This window comes from Homo sapiens, chromosome 3, assembly GCF_000001405.40.
Source record: "Homo sapiens chromosome 3, GRCh38.p14 Primary Assembly".
NCBI classification, from domain to species: Eukaryota; Metazoa; Chordata; class Mammalia; order Primates; family Hominidae; genus Homo; species Homo sapiens.
Window position 1 is genome coordinate 60,970,836 of NC_000003.12, and position 18,382 is coordinate 60,989,217.

Genomic DNA, 18,382 nt, shown 5'->3' on the forward strand with positions numbered 1-18,382 from the left:
ATAGACTTAATAATCTAATGAAACGTTCATATTTATCATCCTGCTTTAGCAATCATTAGCTCATGACCAATCTTGTTCCATCTCTATCCCCATCCATTTTCTCTCCAAATATATTATTTTAAAACAAATTCCAAACATCATATTACATTTCTTATGACTATTTCTGTATGTATATCCAAAAGATGAGTATGCTTTTTATAATATATAACTATGATGTCATTATCACACATACGAAAAAATAATGATAATGGGCCAGGCGCAGTGGCTTACACCTGTAATCCCAGCACTTTGGGAGGTCAAGGCAGGTGGATCACTTGAGGTCAGGAGTTCAAGACCAGTCTGTCCAACATGGTAAAACCCTATCTCTACTAAAAAAGTACAAAAGTTAGCCGAGCATGGTGGTGTGTGCCTGTAGTCCCAGCTACTCAGGAGTCTGAGGCAGGAGAATCACTTGAACCCGGGAGGTTTCAGTGAGCAGCCTGGGTGACAAGAGTGAGACTCTGTCTCAATAAATAAATAATGCATAATACCATCAAATACTCTGGAAATACTCAAATTTCCAAATGTCTCAAATGTGATAACCATTTTTATAGGTATTTTGAAATCAAGAGCCAAATAAATTCTGCATACTGTGATTGGTTTATTTGTCCTTTAAGCTTAATTTAACCTATTGATTCTCCCTCAATCTTTTTTTTTTTGCCCCCTTGCTATCTATGCATTGGAGAAAGGGGCTTGTTGGAACTGAAGTTTTCCACGCTCTGATGTTTTTTCCCCCATGGGTATTGTATTAAATAAAATGCTTCCTAGCTGTAATTTCTGTTTGTTTGCAGTTAGATCTAGAGGCATGCAGATTCAAGTTCATTTGTTTTGTTTTTGGTAAGATTACCTCATGGCTAGTGGTTTATGTTCTTTTCTCTTTTCCCATAAATATTCAGGGCCTGGATCCGTTAATTCATTAAAATAAAAAAATAAGAATATTACACTTTTAAAACATTTATTAGCAGGAATCCTATTATCAAGAGAAAATTCCCCCATCTATGTTTACTTAGTCATACAAGAGATGTGGAACAAATGCTTGATTTTTTACATTTGTATACCATTTTTCAAAACAACAAATTGGTTCACTAACATCTTTCCATGGTAACCAATCGGTTATAATTATTCTTAATGTTATGAACTCATGGATATAAAATATTTGATGAATTTGCATCTGCTGCAGTTACTGTCAATGAGTGCTTAAATTGTTCTATCTTTAGTTATAGGACTTACACTCCACTAAACATTACTTTGATTGTTTTAAACAATCCATATTCATAGACACTTACTTATATATTTATACTTTTTGGTGTTCTTCATGCCCTCCTTCATTTACATGATTTCAACTGGGACTATTTCCTCTGACTGAGGAGCTCCTTTTAATAGTTTTGATATAGATATGCTGATAATTAATTATCTTAGTTTTAATTTTCTAAAAATGTCCTTTTTGAAGGATGTGTTCGGTAGGTATAAAATTCTGAATTGGCAATTACTTTCTTTTGGCACTTTAACCATGGCATCCCATTGTTTTCTTGGTTCCATTGTTTTGGTTTAAAAATTAGCTTTATGTCTCATTGGTGTGCCTTTGAAAATATATCTTTTTTCCTTTGGATGCTTTTAAGATGCATTTATTTGTCTTCAATTTTTAAGCAGTTTTACTACAATATGCCTCCATATTTTATTTGGCTTTTTTTTTTTCTTACACAGTTTCTTGAATCCATGGCTTGATGTTATTCATTAATTTTGGAAAATTCTTTACTGCTATTCTTCAAATAATACTTATGCCCCATCTTCCCTGAAATCTCCTCTTGGGCCTCCAATTGCCTGACACAGACCTTTACACTAACCAATATGTCTCTTATAAAATTTTCTTTATTTTTGCATTCTCTTTTCCACTCTGCTTTAATCTGGATATTTTCCCTTGATCTATTTTCCAGATCATGAATCCTCTCTTCTGTTGTGTCAACTCTATTATTAAACCTATCTACTTAGTTTTAAATTACACTTACTGTAATTTTAACTTTCATGTTGTACATTTGATTCCTTTCATAGGATCTAGATCTCTGGTGAAATTCTCTGTCTCTTCTTGAACATATTAATCTCTTATCTGAAACAGATTATAGCTATAGATCTTATAGCTCCAATTTCTCAGTCACTTTTGGATCTGTTACTTTTGGTTGGTTTTCTGTCTTGATTATTGGCCATTTGTTCTTGTTTCCTGGCATGCCTACTACTTTCTAGTGAATGACAGATACACTTTTTATGGAAATTGTACAAGTTTTGAATGATGTTATCTTTCTCCAAAGATGATTTGATTTTCTTCTGGCAGGCAGATAGAGTACAGGAAAATCATCTTAATCCAGTTGAGGCTGGTATATTTCCAGTTTGCTCTTACCCTAGGTTGTAGTTCTTCAGGGGCCTCAAGGACCTTGAGTATTTCCATGGTCCTACTTCTTTGAAAGCCCTGAACTCTGTGAGACACTGAGACTGCTACAATATCTGCTTTGCCATTTACTCCTGTATCAGATATTTTCAGCTTTATATTTTGTTGTCTCTCCCTGGGAGTGTACAAAAAGGCCTCAAGGGAAAATTCCATGCAGTATGTTGAACTTACATCTCTGTGGCTCCTTTCCTCTGGGATCTTGTTTCCTCCAGTCCTTTGTTGGTAGCCCTGAACTCCACTGGTCAGGAAAGAATTTAAGCTATTTCCACTTTAGAAACTAAAATCTTAAGTTACGCTCCTTGTTGATGTATTCATGCTTTTATTTTCCCTGATTTTTAATATTTTAAAAGCTGGTCACATTCTCATCATTTTGGTATGATCACAAAGAAACATGTAGTAATGGAAAACAAAGAAGTATTGACCTTCACTAGGCAATCAACCCTCAGATAATGTCAGGAAATCTGAAGCTTTCTCAAGTAGGAGTATGGAAGAGTGGAGAAGGGAGATGTGTTATTTATCACAGACAATACTCAGCACAATTTTATTGCTCCTTGGGGAATCCAAAGCTTTTAAAGATGATATTATTATTTGGAAGGCCTCCAGAGAGCACTAAGTATTAAAAATAGCACCTGCATTCTGCTAAGTCAAATCACCTGTTTATTATCCAGGGTGATGAAAATCATTTAATAAAATATTACAGACGCTTGTTCAAAATCATGCACACAATTCATAGGCTCAGAGACATTAATGTCTATGCCTGGCTCACTACATATTTGTTAAATTGATAACTCAGGTGGACATTAGTTAATATTACCACTTTTTAAAAATTAATGATATCAAGTTATTTGAAATAGCCAGTAGAAAACCTCTGCAGTAACATTTCCCATTTTTCCTCATACAAAATTTACATAAAACCTTTGCTTTGTAATAGCCACTATCTTTTTTCTTTAGAGAACCTTCTCCTCCTCCTGCCTTTAGAATATAAATATAAGAATGTGACTCAGGTCTGGTCAGTCCCTGTTCATCCCATTGGCCAGAGTTATTGGTTCAGAAATGAGCATGTGATCTACATTATTCCATTGAGACTCAGTACTTGGATTTTATGAACACTACTGGAAAGAGAATTGCTGCTGGTTGGTAAAGGGATAGAATGAAAGATTCAATGTGGTTATCACCACGTAATGAAGACCTGCCTAAGACTGAAGCCAAAACTACTTAAAACTTCTCAGTTACATGAATCAATAAATGCCCTTTGTTGCCTAAGCCAGTTTATTAGGACTGGGTTTCAGACCTGGAACCAAGAGTTCTTACTAATATAGCTATACCAAAAAAGTGTGTAGCAGCAACCAAGTCTGTCAACAAGAGTGATTAACCCTCAGGTTTAAGAACAAAACTGAAAAGACGCAGTAGCATTAGGAACATGTTTTTGTGGTGATAAGATTTATTCCAGTCCACTGATAATGTTTTACTTTCCCACCTACATTTACAGGATGCCCAAGACATGAGGCCTGAAATTTATCAATAATATCAAATAACATAGCCCCATTCTTGAAGTTCCAAAGTTAGAGTATTATTGGCATTTTTCACCTATTCCTCACAGAGCTTAGTTATTTGGGGATGAAGTAAGTTACAGAAGTTTCCAAAAAAGAAGGAAATCTCTATGTGTTTCATGTTTTTAAAATTCTGTCTTCGGCTTTGGCTTAAGTTATGGTTACTGATGGTAGCTGTAAGTAATATTCCCAGGAGAAAGGCTGCAAATAAAATGAGAATTCCTCAGCATCTTTATTGTCCTTCAAGTGGACACGAATTCAAGCAGGTGCACATACTGAGGATCATACATTTCTACTCATGGCATTTAATTAGGAGGAAAGTAAAATGTGCAGGGCCAGAACTTTAAATATTAGTTTAATAACCTTTATGCACCTAATTTCTGAATGATTTTCTTACTCTCTGGAGAGGCATCTAATGTCAGACAGTGGCATTAAGGTGAAATTAAGGTGAGTCATGGTAACTGAAAAGCCATGAGGCAGGCACATGTCAGAATTATTAATTTTAAAGGATATATGAAATATTTTCTCCTCTGAAAATATGCCCAGTTAATGTATGCTGAACTTGAAGTATGGCTTTATTTCCCTCATTCACAACTAATCACTGTCTCCAGGAGGAACAGACTAAAGAGAGAAAGATTACAAAAGAAGTATAGCCATTTCAAAATCCCCAAACAAATGAGAAATCAAAAGAACAATGACAAGCTTGTTGGTTATGTAGAGTAAAATTTTTAGTGTGCCAATCATGGCTGATACCATGTTTTGACCATGTCAAAATTCATCAAGGCAGGAGTTTTCAAACCTTTTTTGAATATGACCCACAGTGAAAAGTATTTCTATATCTATCTGTAATATGACTGTGTATGCATATACATTTACAAAACTCTTACCAAATTAAATGAACTCTCATATTTTCTATTCTATATAATTTCACTAAAAGCAATCCCTAAATTGTCTCACAACTCACCAGTAGCTTACAAGTTGATATAAAACATATAATTTGACATATATTCCACATCTTAGGCTAAGAGAATTACACATATTCAAATCATTACCAATGCCAATTTCAGATTAAGACTGTTCTGAAATGAAATCAAATCAACTCTTTCTACACAGTGGAAATTCTTAGACCGTTTATTAACTTCACTAAATATTTTCATAAAGCATTTGAAGCAAGATGCTTTCTTCAGGATAACACCTCCAAACATACTTTGTATCTTTCGTTTTTCTTTTTCTTTTTTTTTTTTTTTTTTTTTTTTTTTTGAGACGGAGTTTCACTCTGTTGCCCAAGCTGGAGTGCAGTGGTGGGATCTTGGCTCACTGCAACCTCTACCTCCTGGGTTCAAGTGATTCTTTTGCCTCAGCCTCCCAAGTAGCTGGAATTACAGGCACATGCTATCATGCCTGGCTAATTTTTGTATTTTTAGTAGAGACAGGGTTTTACCACGTTGGCCAGGCTAATCTTGCACTCCTGACCTCAGGTGATCTGCCCACCTCGGCCTCCCAAAGTGCTCAGATTCCAGGCGTGAGCCACCACACCCGGCCTCAGAACATACTTTGAAACAACCCAATGCAAGCTCACCACCTCAAATCCAGATCCAAAGACGACACTATCTTTAAAACAAACAAACGAAAAACCATGTCTCTATAAAAAGGAATGAAACATAATGTCACAGGGTGATATTCTAATGAGACAAAGAGGTAGTCCCATTATCTGTTTTGTTTTACCTGGTGGTATCAACTGTTGTTTCATCACTGTTTCTGTGAAGAACATGTTTTCTTAATGAACCCTTGAGAAGGACAGTGATTTGATGAATGAAAGATGTGACACATGAAACAAAATATTCCTCATTCCACACCTGTGTATATAATATCATTTGGCTCTCCAAATTATCTTAAAGTTTGAATCTCATTTCTTCCTTCCTCAATATTTTCTTTTACCATGGAGGCAGGGACAGCAAAGAAATGTTTCCTCTCCAGATCCACTATTAACTGAAAATTCCAGTGCTCTGAATACTTGTTTTTTTTTTTTTATTTTTAAAAAGGGACCTGAATTTCTATTAAAGGATTTCCTTTATTAACTCCTGCTGAAGAATTTACATATTGGCAGGTTGGAAAGTAAGCCCTGTAGGAAAGAAATCGGACTTGTTTTTCATCATCAACATGACGGTCTGATGATGGGTGTATGAGTTTCCTGTTGACACCCATGTCACATTTACTGAATTACTGTTGAGACCACAGGGTAGACCCAGCTTATACAATTCTTTTGTCTTCTTTCTGCTTCACAGATCATTCATAATCACACACGGGGTAAAAAATGAGGGAGCGAAAATTGTGTAAGCTAATTTTCACTGTTGCTGGAAGCGGAAGCAAATAGTTCTCAGAGCTGAGAGTGAACCTGGGTGGTGAAGAGCAGTCAGCATTACCGGTGGCAAGTTCAGCATTCTGACCAAAATGAGCCACTCTGAACCCTGGTGTTCAGTCAATGGCGGTTTCCTCAAATTTGTCCTTAAAAGTTGAAATGTATCATACTTCTGCTCAGCCACCCTTAAGAAACTTGAGTGTATGAGTGTGTGTGAAATACAAATAAAACCTACACAGCTATTGTCTGGATTGAACAAACAAGCAAATGTGCTCAGTTTTCCAAACAATTGCAGATGCTGTAATAATTCAGAAAAGTGTGTGCTGAGCAGTGGGGGATGCTGGCATGCTCTGTTAGAATCATTGTGGCTGGGTGCGGTGGTTCACGCCTGTAATCCCAGCACTTTGGGAGGCTGAGATGGGCAAATCACCTGAGGTCGGGAGTTCGAGACCAGGCTGACCAACATAGAGAAACCCCATCTCTACTAAAAATACAAAATTAGCCAGGTGTGGTGGCGCATGCCTGTAATCCCAGCTACTCAGGAGGCTGGGGCAGGAGAATCACTTGAACCCAGGAGGTAGAGGTTGCAGTGAGCCGAGATCTCGCCATTGCACTCCAGCCTGGACAACGAGAGCGAAACTCCATCTCAAAAACAAAAACAAAAAGACAGAGTCATTGCTAACCATGTTGCTTAGCACAATTTTGGAAGGAGGCATGATGCTGGCACAGAAAACCCTTGTCAGAAATTCCTATTCCTTAATTTTATGCTCTTTCTTTCATTCTTTTCTCACTTCATTGTCATACAGGCAAGTGAAAAAGAGTGGAAAGAGAAGAGGCGGTGTCAAAGGAAAAGAGAAAAAATACACCTGACTCCTGTTGTTTATGATTGTCTTGTCAGTTAACACCTGGGCAATCATCAACCATGTACTTTCCTTGAGCCAGGTCCTTAAAGAACCCAAGATGAAGGAAGTAGACAGAAGCAGCTTTGGGGTGGTTAGGGTAGTGCTTCTAGAACTTTAACGTGGCTACAGATTTCTTGGGAGTCTTGTTAAAATGTGGATTCTGATTCTAGAGTGGGGCCTCAAATTCTGCTTCAGTTGGTGATCTTGTTAAAATGCCGTTTCCGATTATGGGGTGGAGCCTCAGATTCTGCACTTCTACTCTTAGGGAAACCCAAGCCTCAGGGTTAGTCTTTGAGCCTGGGGCAGTGGCCTATCCTGGGCCTTTTTCTTTACAGGTATTTCACTTGACTACTTCTCCTTTTTTCAGGGGCCTGCAGTAAAGAGAAATAAAGCATGACATAGTCTGAAAAGCACTGGTTCTAGAATCAAACAAACTTGGGTTGGAATTCCAACTCTGCAACTGATTTGCAATCTGTGTGGTCACAGGTGAGTTTTTTGAATCCCTCTTAAATTCATTTTCTCCATCTATAAACTGGGTATGCCATTTTTTAACTCTCAGGGCAGCTACAAGGAACAAATGAGATCATGTGCATCATCAGGTAGGTTCACATTCATTATGAAATGAATGACTAAAGAGCCTAAAGCACAACCGTTCTATCTACAGGTAATAAAAAGGAAGGTAGGGTGCAACAATGTTTAAATACATCTTTATTTTTCTTAATACCATGACTTTGGCTCTTCCTTAGATCTACAGCTATGGGTTGTGTAGAGTTGTAACCACATTAAGCCAAGCATGTCTTCCCATTTCGAATACTTTTCTGACTCCAGAAATTCATTCTCTGATCATGCTTTCAGTAATGACAAAATCCAGAACAGATTGGGTTTTTGAAAATATTTCTTGCTATATCAAATGAGGAAAATTTGAAAATATTTCTTGCTGTATCAAATGATGAAAATACATCTGATGATTTACTTGCCCTCAATTAATTCAGTTCTTAGGCTTGCTCTTCTGGACTTCTCTGGCTCCTGTTTCCAACAACAGATTTCCCTTCTTCTCAAGCTCCCCTCTTCCCAGTCTCTCTCCTCCAATCTGAAATTGGGCTCCCTTTGCTCCCATAGTAAATAAGGCAAAAGTGTCCCTTCATTCCCATGTGATCCAGCTGGGGAATCTCAGTTTCTCTAAAGGAATCAAGAAGATACTTCAGAGTTAACCAGAGGAATTAAAGAAAAAACAGTTAATGCCAGCCTTCTCCAACCTTCCCACATCAGCAGACTGAACAAAGCGCTCAAAACTCAGGGTTTAATAAAGAGGGAAAAAGGAGGAGGAGCTACTTTATTGGGTGTAGTAGAGACAAAGAGGGAAATAGAAGAAAATTGTGAAGTAGTGACATTAGCTGCCATGTCCTACCTCCTCTGGCAGTTCTCCAGGGCAGACAGGGCTGGCAGCGGATGGGTGTTATAACTCCTATGGATCATGCCTGACCCTTCTGGGCCCGTCATGACTTCTGTTTAGATGACACTAAAGGGTCTCAGGGCAGCATCAGAGCAGGAAGGATGTGCCAACCACAGAAGTGCCAACTCATGACAAGAATCATTGCTCATTCAGGGATTGCTGCCCCTGCCATCACCCCCTCTGTCCCAGGATCTGCATTCCGCTGTTCTCTCTCCTGCAAGCTGTGACAGCAGAAGAGGGGCCTCCTTCCCATTAGCTCATTTCCATCTCGGACTTAGTCAAAGGAATAAATTATTGTCAGCTCATCTGTCTTATTAGATTGAGCCACATGATATTGCCATGTTGTTGCTCCAATACTGGCAATTTCATGTGATTCAACCTCATCTGCTGTTTAGAGAAAGGAAGTTTCACTGCTATGAAAAACTAAACCATTTCTGTGGCTGAGCTATGCTGACCAGAACAGAGTTATCTCAAATTCATCTACTCAAAAGCTGCATATTTTAAACTGAAATGCACTGAGCGTCTTCCTTATCCCTACTTTCCACATTTCTAAGACAAGATAAATTCAGCAACATTCTTTAGAAAACATTCCATCTCCAACAGCAACTATCAGTCAAACAACAGGGAATCATTGTGCATTTACTCTGTATAAAGCATAAGAAGGATAAAAAAAATAAACACAACATCTTTTCTGTCCCTAAGGAGTAACTGACGTAGCTGAAGAAAGAAGAGGGGAAAAACACCACAAAAAATGTAAAGAATGAAGCAACAATATAAGGAATGTCACAAGACAGACCATGATCATTTGCTAAATGAGTGGAATGGAAAATAAGTACAGTGAGTTGAGAGGCAGGAGCAATCACCTAGAATCTGATGTGAGCCACTTTCTATCTAATTTAGCTCATCAATCACCTCACCCTCCCACCTACTTACTGTGGGAAGTTATCACAGAAAATGAAAATCTCCTCTCTGCCTACTCATAACTCCCAGATGTCGGTTCCAGAAATGTATGCCCAGCAGGTCTCAGACCACTCCCACTCATTTATTGGGTCCATCTCAGGAAAAGATGGGGGAATGGGGACATTTACACTGGATGCTTTTCTTTCTCTAGGTGAAGTCAGCATGACACAGGAAAATGGGAGAAATCTAAATGTGTGTGCCTCAATATAAACTGTAGCCACCTGGTAGCCTAGCACTTTTCCTGACTTCATGACTCCTTTTAATTCTGAATTTCAACCTTTCTGAGCAGTTGCCAATAGTAAAAAAAATGACATAAATTTAAGCATACTACAAATACCTGTTTAGATACAAATGAGGTCACATTAACACCTCACAGCCCCCCTATTTTAGCAATTCCCTGCGTGCTCTCACTCACACAATCTCCCATGGTACCCTGCTCTTCCTCTCTGCTGAGGGCCTCCCTCTTGAGGACAATGCCTAGCCATGGACCCTGTCTCTAGTGTCCTCCTGGAGAAGGGTGTTTCCTTTCCCAGGGGGTCATAGCCAAGGGCTCTGCAAGGCAGCAGCAGCCCTGGCTGCCCCAGTACTTCTGGCATGAAAGCCATGCTGGGATGTTCCATGCAGAAATGCAGATAATACCCTTCTGCCCAACACTGTCACCCTCTACTGCCTGGGTTGAATAAAAGTGAAAGTTTGCTAAGGTCCCAAGGCAACATCTCTGACCAGGCCTTTTCTCCTTCTCCCCTTTCTTCCTTCCTTTTTTTTTTTTTTTTCTTTTTTTTTTTTGACAGAGTCTCACTCTGTCACCCAGGCTGGAGTGCAGTAGCGTGATCTTAGCTCACTGCAATCTCCACCTCCCAGGTTCAAGCAATTCTCCTGCCTCAGCCTCCCGAGTAGCTGGGACTACAGGTGCACGCCACCACTACCAGCTAATTTTTTTAAAATATATTTTCGTAGAGATGGGGTTTCACTGTGTTGCCCAGGCTGGTCTCGAACTCCTGAGCTCAGGCAATCCACCCGCCTCGGCCTCCCAAAGTGCTAGGATTACAGGCGTAAGCCACGGTGCCCAGCCACTTCTTTCCTTTTTTGAGACAGGGTCTTGCTCTGTTGCCAGTACTGGAGTACAGTGATATGATCATAGCACACTGTAGCTTCAAACTCCTGGGCTCTGGTGAGCCTCCCTTCTCAGTCTCCTGAGTAGCTGGGACTACAGGTGTACACCACCATGTCTGGCTATTTTTTTTTTAAGAGATGGGGTCTTGCCATGTTACCCAGGCTGGTCTCAAACTCCTGGACTCAAGTGATTCTCCCACCTTGGCCTCCCAAAATGCTGGGATGAAAGCCATTGTGCTCAGCCCTCACCCTCCACTTCTAATCCATAAGAAAGACGTGTCAATTTTACCTACAAAACATCCCTCGAGTCCTCCCCTTCACTCCATCTCGGCAGATACCCTGTTGGTTGCTTATTAATTACCATCACCTCTTACCTGGGCCTCTACCACAGCCTCCTAATGTCCTGCTTCCACTCTTGCCCTTCCAGTTCATTCTGCACAAAGCAGCAAGAGGGATCTTGTAAAAAGACTAAATGGATCATGTCTTCCTAGACTTAAAACCCTTCAGTGCTTTCCCTGCTACACTCAGAATAAAGTCAAAGCCCTTGGCCCTGGCCTACGGGGCCTTCCAGGACTTGGCCCCAGCCTTGCTCTACAGGAGACTGTCCAGTGAAGGTTATAAACTCAAAGTCCACTGCTTCCCATGAGAAGCCTGGGTCAGAATTCTGGGTCTTCTGTTTACCATGTGAACTGTGGAGCTTTGGGCCAGCTTCTTAGCTTCCCTGCACTTCAGTTCCTACACATGGAAAGTTACATATCTCACTGGATTATTAGAAATAAAGTGAGATACAACGTATACAGTGCTAGGAATATTGCCAGTCAATAGTAAATGCTTCATAAATATAATCAGCCTGGTCTGCTTTCATTTCTTCGAACACATCTTTTCCACTTCAGGGCCTTCCATTTGTTGTCCTTTCTGCTCAGAATGCTCTCCCTCCTCCCCGTTTGTACAGAAAGGCCTTCCCTGACTAACAGATCTCAATGGGGACTCTCCCTGTCTCACTCTGTTATTCTCTGTTGCAACTCTTCATTTCCTTCGTATCACTTGTATCCTGTGATAAACTGCCATTATTTTCTTTCTTTGGCTATTCACTGCTTATTGTCTTTCCCTTCCATGAGACTTTAATCTTTATAAGTATTACCATTGAATTCCAGTACTAGAACATCATTTTGACTCAGGGATCCTTCAAGAGCTTCCATCACTATTTAAATTTTTACAGTGAGGAAGTGGATGAATCTTACTAATCTCTCATCTCATGGTCTATTTCCATTTGGCTTTTACTTAAAGGGTCCTCTTTCTGTGGAGGTCAGACCAACTCTCTGGGGCAGGGTTGGACAAAAAACACCATGATTGACTCAGTCTCCCCAACTCCCCTGAAAGTACATATAAGCTTCTTTTCAAGGACTCCTTGCCTTCTTGGACAGATATTTAACTAAGTAACCTCTGATGGCTCCTTTTATCTCAATCCGATTTACCTTCTCTCTTGTGTGTGTGTGTGTGTGTGTGTGTGTGTAATGCACACACTTACTAAGATGTTGGCTTAGCCCAGAGTCCTCAGAAAGCACAGCCTGAGGCAAAATCTTACATAATCCTAATTTATTGGAATGTGCCATCCAGGGAAGGAAGAGGGAGAGAAGAAGGAAATGAGGAAGGGACGGAGAACAAGCAGATAGATACAAGGGTATATTTCTGAGCTGGCTGCCACTGTTACTCAGCACAACTGATGTCAGATCTCCAGGACCCATCTTCTGAGGCAGGCTGTGTGAATGACAGCTCCTTTGGACAATAAGTCAGGGTAAGAAGGAGATGAATTCCAGGTTGCACATACGTGGGAGCTGAGCCATCTAGTGCATCACAGGCCTCAGTGGCAACATGGGAGCCCTGGGGGAGATGACAGGCTGACTTGAGAGAATGGGAGCAGTCACTGTAACAGCCTTTGGCCCTTGGCAGCAACAATGTCAGCAGCATTAGTGACCTGGCTCTGTAACCATGAGAGCAGCACAAACCAGGCAAGCATACAGATCTGGAGGATGGCCTAAACTAAGTCTCGTACTGATGGGTAGGAAGGTGATGACTGTCCAAATGTAGTGTTTGAGGATGGCAAGCATGGGACATATAGGCTCACCACTCCTGAAGCTTGCACTCATGGCAGACATCTTTGTACTTTGTACTTTGTCTGGCTGAGCCCAAGTACAGCCTCAAAACACTTCTTCATACAGAGCTGTAATCAGCCACTACATCACAACAGTAATGCAAATGATGACAGCATAAGATAAAAAAAATTGTAATTCACACCTGAAATGATAAAGACAAAAACAGTATAAAGCTAATGAAAATGATGAATTTCAGAAAGTGAAAAATCCACCAAAGGGAAGCCCTTCCAGAGCATCTTCCATCTAACCCAGCTCCATAGCCCAGAAATCAGCGTCTGTGGATCTTCTTGATATTGCAGGAAAAGAGAATGCCATTCAAATGACAGCTTTTCCAGAACTGGAATTCTATGTACAACCTAGCATCACAGCTCTCATCATTCTGTATTTGATGACAGTTTTGTGGGTTTCATATCCCAAAATGATACCTGCCTAATTCACAGAGCAAAGTTTATTTCATTTAAAGCAGTTCTGATCAGGGGAAAATGTTTCATTGTGGTGTTATAAGGAATTGATCTGCTAATGTTCTTCTTAAGCTTTGACATTAATTACAGAGAAGATGCATCATCATTTCTACTGACCCTTCATTCCACCCCCACCTACCAATACACCCACCCAAATGTTCAGAGCTTTGTATATGTGTCTTAATAATCTGTCATCCAATACTTGGCAAGTGAAATGTGCTATCATATGGTACCAAGAATGTTCGCAGCTCTGGCTAAAACTTCACTGGATCTGATATTTAAGCCTTAGTGGTGATCTAACATAGGCAGAGAACTGTGCTAAGAACTGATAGATGCAGAAGTGAATAAAACACTGCCCCTTTCCCTTAGAGTAGTAAGTTCCAAACTAAAGGATAGAACCCAATAGTGGGTCTTGACATCAACTTAGGAAATTGTAACGAGAAATTTTAAAAGCTACAATAGAATTGAATATAGTAGAACATATCTCAAATAATAATAAAGGGTATAGTTTCATGAAGGGGTGTGTGTGTGTGTGTGTGTGTGTGTGTGTGCATATACATGTATTTCTTTCTGTAGGTGATCTAACAGTTTGAAAGCCTAAGTTTTCCAAAGGTGAAAACCATCATTCAAACACATAATGATAAAAATTTACGTATAGAGAATCCCTGGAGTCATGCAGAATCAACATTCAGTATGCATACAGGATGGCAGAGATTAGTACTAAGGGGGCCTGATATTCAGGCAATGGTGAGAATCTAGAGTTTGCCTTCTAAAGCCCACATTCCTCATATTACTCTCTGCTCAGAAACCACTGTATGTGCCCCCATCACTACAGAACGTAATCCAAGCTCATGAGTATGGCATTGAAGGACCTCCAAGCTTATTTCCCACTACTCTTCACCTCCTCCCACACCTTCTTGATGCCATACTGTTGCTATAATCATTTTTGCCATTTTGAATGTGTTCTGTGTTTGAATACGTTCTGTGTTTTTTTACTTCTGGACCCTTGCACAAACTCTTCCTTCATGCTGGAATGTCTTTCCTTCCCTATCTGACCACTAAAGTAATATACTTACAGTGGTCAGCCTTTGTTTTGTCTCTCCAGCAAGCTATCCGATCCTCCTTCTGGTAATAATATTTTCTTTCCTTTGAGAAACTCCCTGAAATTTCATGGGTTCTGTGGTCAATCATAATGCCCCACTGCCTATGGCCACAGGAGAAGCTCTGTGACAAACATACAGTGATTGGTTGAAAAAAACAAGCATGTGACCTATGGCAGAACATTATACTCTATCTCATGTACAGACGGGTACAATTCCTTCTCTGAATTCTAACAGCAGCCCTCAAAATACAGTGAGCATAATAATTACCTGGAAGACTTGCTAAACCACAGATTGGTTCCACCCCCAGAGTTTCTGATTGGATAAATGTAAATTATGGCCTGAGATTTTGCATTTCAAATAAATTCCCAGGTGCGTTAGCTTCCTCCTGTTGCTGTAACAAATTACCACAAACTTAGTGGCTTAAAACAACATAAATTTATCTTCTTACAGTTCTGGTGGTCAGAAGCCCAAAACAGGTCAAGGTGTTGACAGGGCTGTTCCTTCTGGAGGCTCCAGGGTAGAATCCATTTTTTTGGTTCTCTCAGCTTCTAGAGGTTGCCTGCATTCCTTGGCTCATGGCCCTTCTCTTGCATCACTCCAACCTCTTACTGCTGTCCTCAGAACTCCTACTACTAACGCTTACCTCCTGTCTCCCCCTTATAACGACCCTTGTGGTTATATTAGGCCTACTGAGATAATGTAGAATAATCTCTCATTCTCAACCCCCTTAACTTGATCATATCTGTGAAGTCCCTTTTGCCATAAGAGGTAACTTAGGCCTGAGTCCTTTCACCTGAGGATTAGGATGTGGACAACTTTGAGGGGTCATTATTCAGTCTACCACACCAAGTGATGCTGATCCTGATAGTCCAGGGTCCACACTTTGAAAACCAATGAATTACTATCACTATCAAAGCCAGCCTAGTATTTTATTCTTTAGTCTGTCTGCCTCCCACTAGATTAAGAGGTTGCAGAGGCTGGAATAGATCTTGGCCTTTTTAAAAATTGCTTTAATTCTATGTACATTCTCCTTTCTGAATACTGGTAAATACATCTTTCAGTTAAACTGGAGGAATAGGTAAACAGTCTGAAATGCTGATAGAAAAGAAAACTGTGAAGATAAAACCCCAAAGTGGAGAGGTATTGGTTAATAGGATTATCTGGATTCCTTACTGCCAACAGTAAATCTTTCTACCTAATTATGCTCCCAAATTTCAAATTTCTCTATTGCTGACAACTATCGCCATTTTGATGCCCCCCAGTTATTTCTCATTTTTCTCAAACCAAATTTGTGTAGCTGGCCAGCCTATCCTGAGTTCTACCTCATGGGCTCTGGATGTCAGAGATAGCTTCACCACACACTCAAGAACTCAAGCCAGAAATTTCACCAGCATCATAGGAATAGCCGCTGACAGTTATTCCCCCACTGATATGTGCTTGGCAACGTTCTGAGTTCTCTGTGGGCACTTACTCATTAATTCTTACCATTCTTGTCTTGTCCATTTAAAAAATATCTCCCATAGTGCTTTACATGTAGCATACATACACTTTATAAGTCTACATTGCTTGGTTCATTCAGTAGACCATAAGCTCCTTGAGGGAAGGGATGGGTCTTATTCATCATCTTGTTGCCAGGATGAAACTATGTCACTTGTACCTCATATTACATTTGCAGTAAAATGTTAGAGAGATGAGACCATATGTGAGCAGTTGGAATTAAGTCAGTCAAGTTGAAGTGGGGTCTAACATCAAATTGCCTTGAAAAGCAGGCAGAACTTAAAACATGATATAATAGGCATCTCAGAGCTAGTGCAAAATCCTAAGCAAGAGCATAAAGCTAATGTTGGGAGCAGGCCCCCCAAAATCTGGCCATAAACTGGCCCCAAAACTGGCCATAAACAAAATCTCTGCAGCACTGTAACATGTTCATAATGGCCCTAACACCCAAGCTGGAAGGTTGTGGGTTTAGGGAATGAGGGCAAGGAACACCTGGCCTGCCCAGGGTGGAAAATCACTTAAAGGCATTCTTAAGCCATGAACAATAGCATGAGCAATCTGTGCCTTAAGGACATACTCCTGCTGCAGTTAACTAGCCCAACCTATTCCTTTAATTCGGCCCATAAGAGATACTTTTAGTTAATTTAGTATCTATAGAAACAATGCTAATGACTGGTTTGCTGTTAATAAATATGTGGATAAATCTCTGTTTGGGGCTCTCAGCTCTGAAGGCTGTGAGACCCCTGATTTCCCACTTCACACCTCTATATTTCTGTGTGTGTGTCTTTAATTCCTCTAGCACTGCTGGGTTAGGGTCTCCCTGACCAAGCTGGTCTTGGCAAGCTAAAATCATTTTATAGAGCCAAATCAGTAAGTCCCCAGTTTAGCTTAGAAACAATCAGACAAGGACCAAAGGCTTTCTAGGAGGTATGATTCTTTGAAGAGACAAGGGAGATTGAAATTGAGTCCATAAAATTCTCTTCCATCTTCCTGATTCTAGGTGTTGAGGTATCTGTCCTTTGTTCTTGGTGATTTACTATATCTGATTGCAACTTAGAATTCAAACATTAGGCTCTGCCTTCTTTTCCATCCGGATTCTAAAATCAATATCTTTACTATGACGCTTATTCCCAGGATTAATTTATGAAATTGTATGATGTGCTTTGAAGACTGAAGGCTTCTTAGAGAGAGAGGGAATGTCACCTTGTACTATCAAACCAGTATATTAAACAGTTACTGCTTTAAAAATCAGATGTTTGTTGGTTGAGATGCTATTAAATCTTAACCTACAAAACCAGCACATGATCATTTCAATGGTACAAAGGCAAACTAAATATAGCAGATGACAATTGCTACAACATAAGAGAAAAAATGTAATGTAATATTTTAACCATTTAGTTATATGCCACATGAAAATAAATTCTTATAAAGAATAAGTTTTAGCACTTGCCCCATTTGTGTGATAGGGTACCTACCATGTGCCAAGGGCTGTGCAATACTGTGATGAACAAAAGAATCCCTACGTGATGGAGCCATCAATCTAGTGGACAGGATGGATATTTAATAATTATGAATAATTACTACATAATCACAGGACAGAATAAAATGAAGGATTTCCAAGAGCAATGTGAACATAGAACCAAATATGGAGCATATCTGAGGAAACAAGAGGCTGTCCAGAGGAGACCATATTCCAGCTGAGATTTTAAGGGCAAATGAGAGCTGACGAGCAGCACAGAAGGGGAAAGAATCTTCCAGCATTTGATCGGCATGATACATAAAAGGAGAGTAGCAGGGCATGGGCTGGGAACCTGGAGGCCTGTTCAAGACTGTTCAGCCTTGACAAGGTAAAGGGCAAGAGGTGATATATTTGTTTGAGCTGAATCTCTCAGCATTTTGCATCTCAAGTCTCCTAGTTTTAAACAACTTTCTAGAGAGGAGGCTGCTCTTTATAGAACTGAGTATATGGAAGACAGCCTTGAGAACCTTAAATTCAATGCACTGTGTAGAATATAACCATGATTCTAAACGATACTTGTTAAAAGGCTTTTTTTTTTTTTTCAAATGGCCATGGCTTTGTTAAAAAAAAAAAAAAAAAAAAAAAAAAAAACAAGATAATTTGGTAACTGAGTAGAGACAGGACAGGTTTTTCTACTGAAGTCTTTGGTTTATGGATACACCTATAGTGTTGGAAGGAAGCATTTGTATTTTAAGGTATCTTTCCTAGGTTTGTTGCTAAGTTCATGGACAGCATACCCCCATGAAGATGACAACACAGTTCTTCTAAGACATTATTTATTTATGTATTTATTTTTTAGGCAGAGTCTTGCTGAAGTGCCATAGGAGTGATCA

General features: G+C 39.7%; 1 protein-coding gene and 1 long non-coding RNA gene across 9 annotated transcripts in view; one reads left to right on the forward strand and one right to left on the reverse strand.

Annotated features, from left to right (window-relative positions):
- Positions 1–18,382, reverse strand: part of FHIT (fragile histidine triad diadenosine triphosphatase) — a 1,504,176-nt gene that overhangs the window by 1,223,559 nt on the left and 262,235 nt on the right. The gene's annotated exons all lie outside the window — the stretch shown is intronic.
- Positions 7,430–18,376, forward strand: LOC124906244 (uncharacterized). Its single transcript, XR_007095938.1, has 3 exons — positions 7,430–7,573; positions 7,658–7,776; positions 18,349–18,376. It is a non-coding gene; the product is annotated as an uncharacterized LOC124906244 (long non-coding RNA).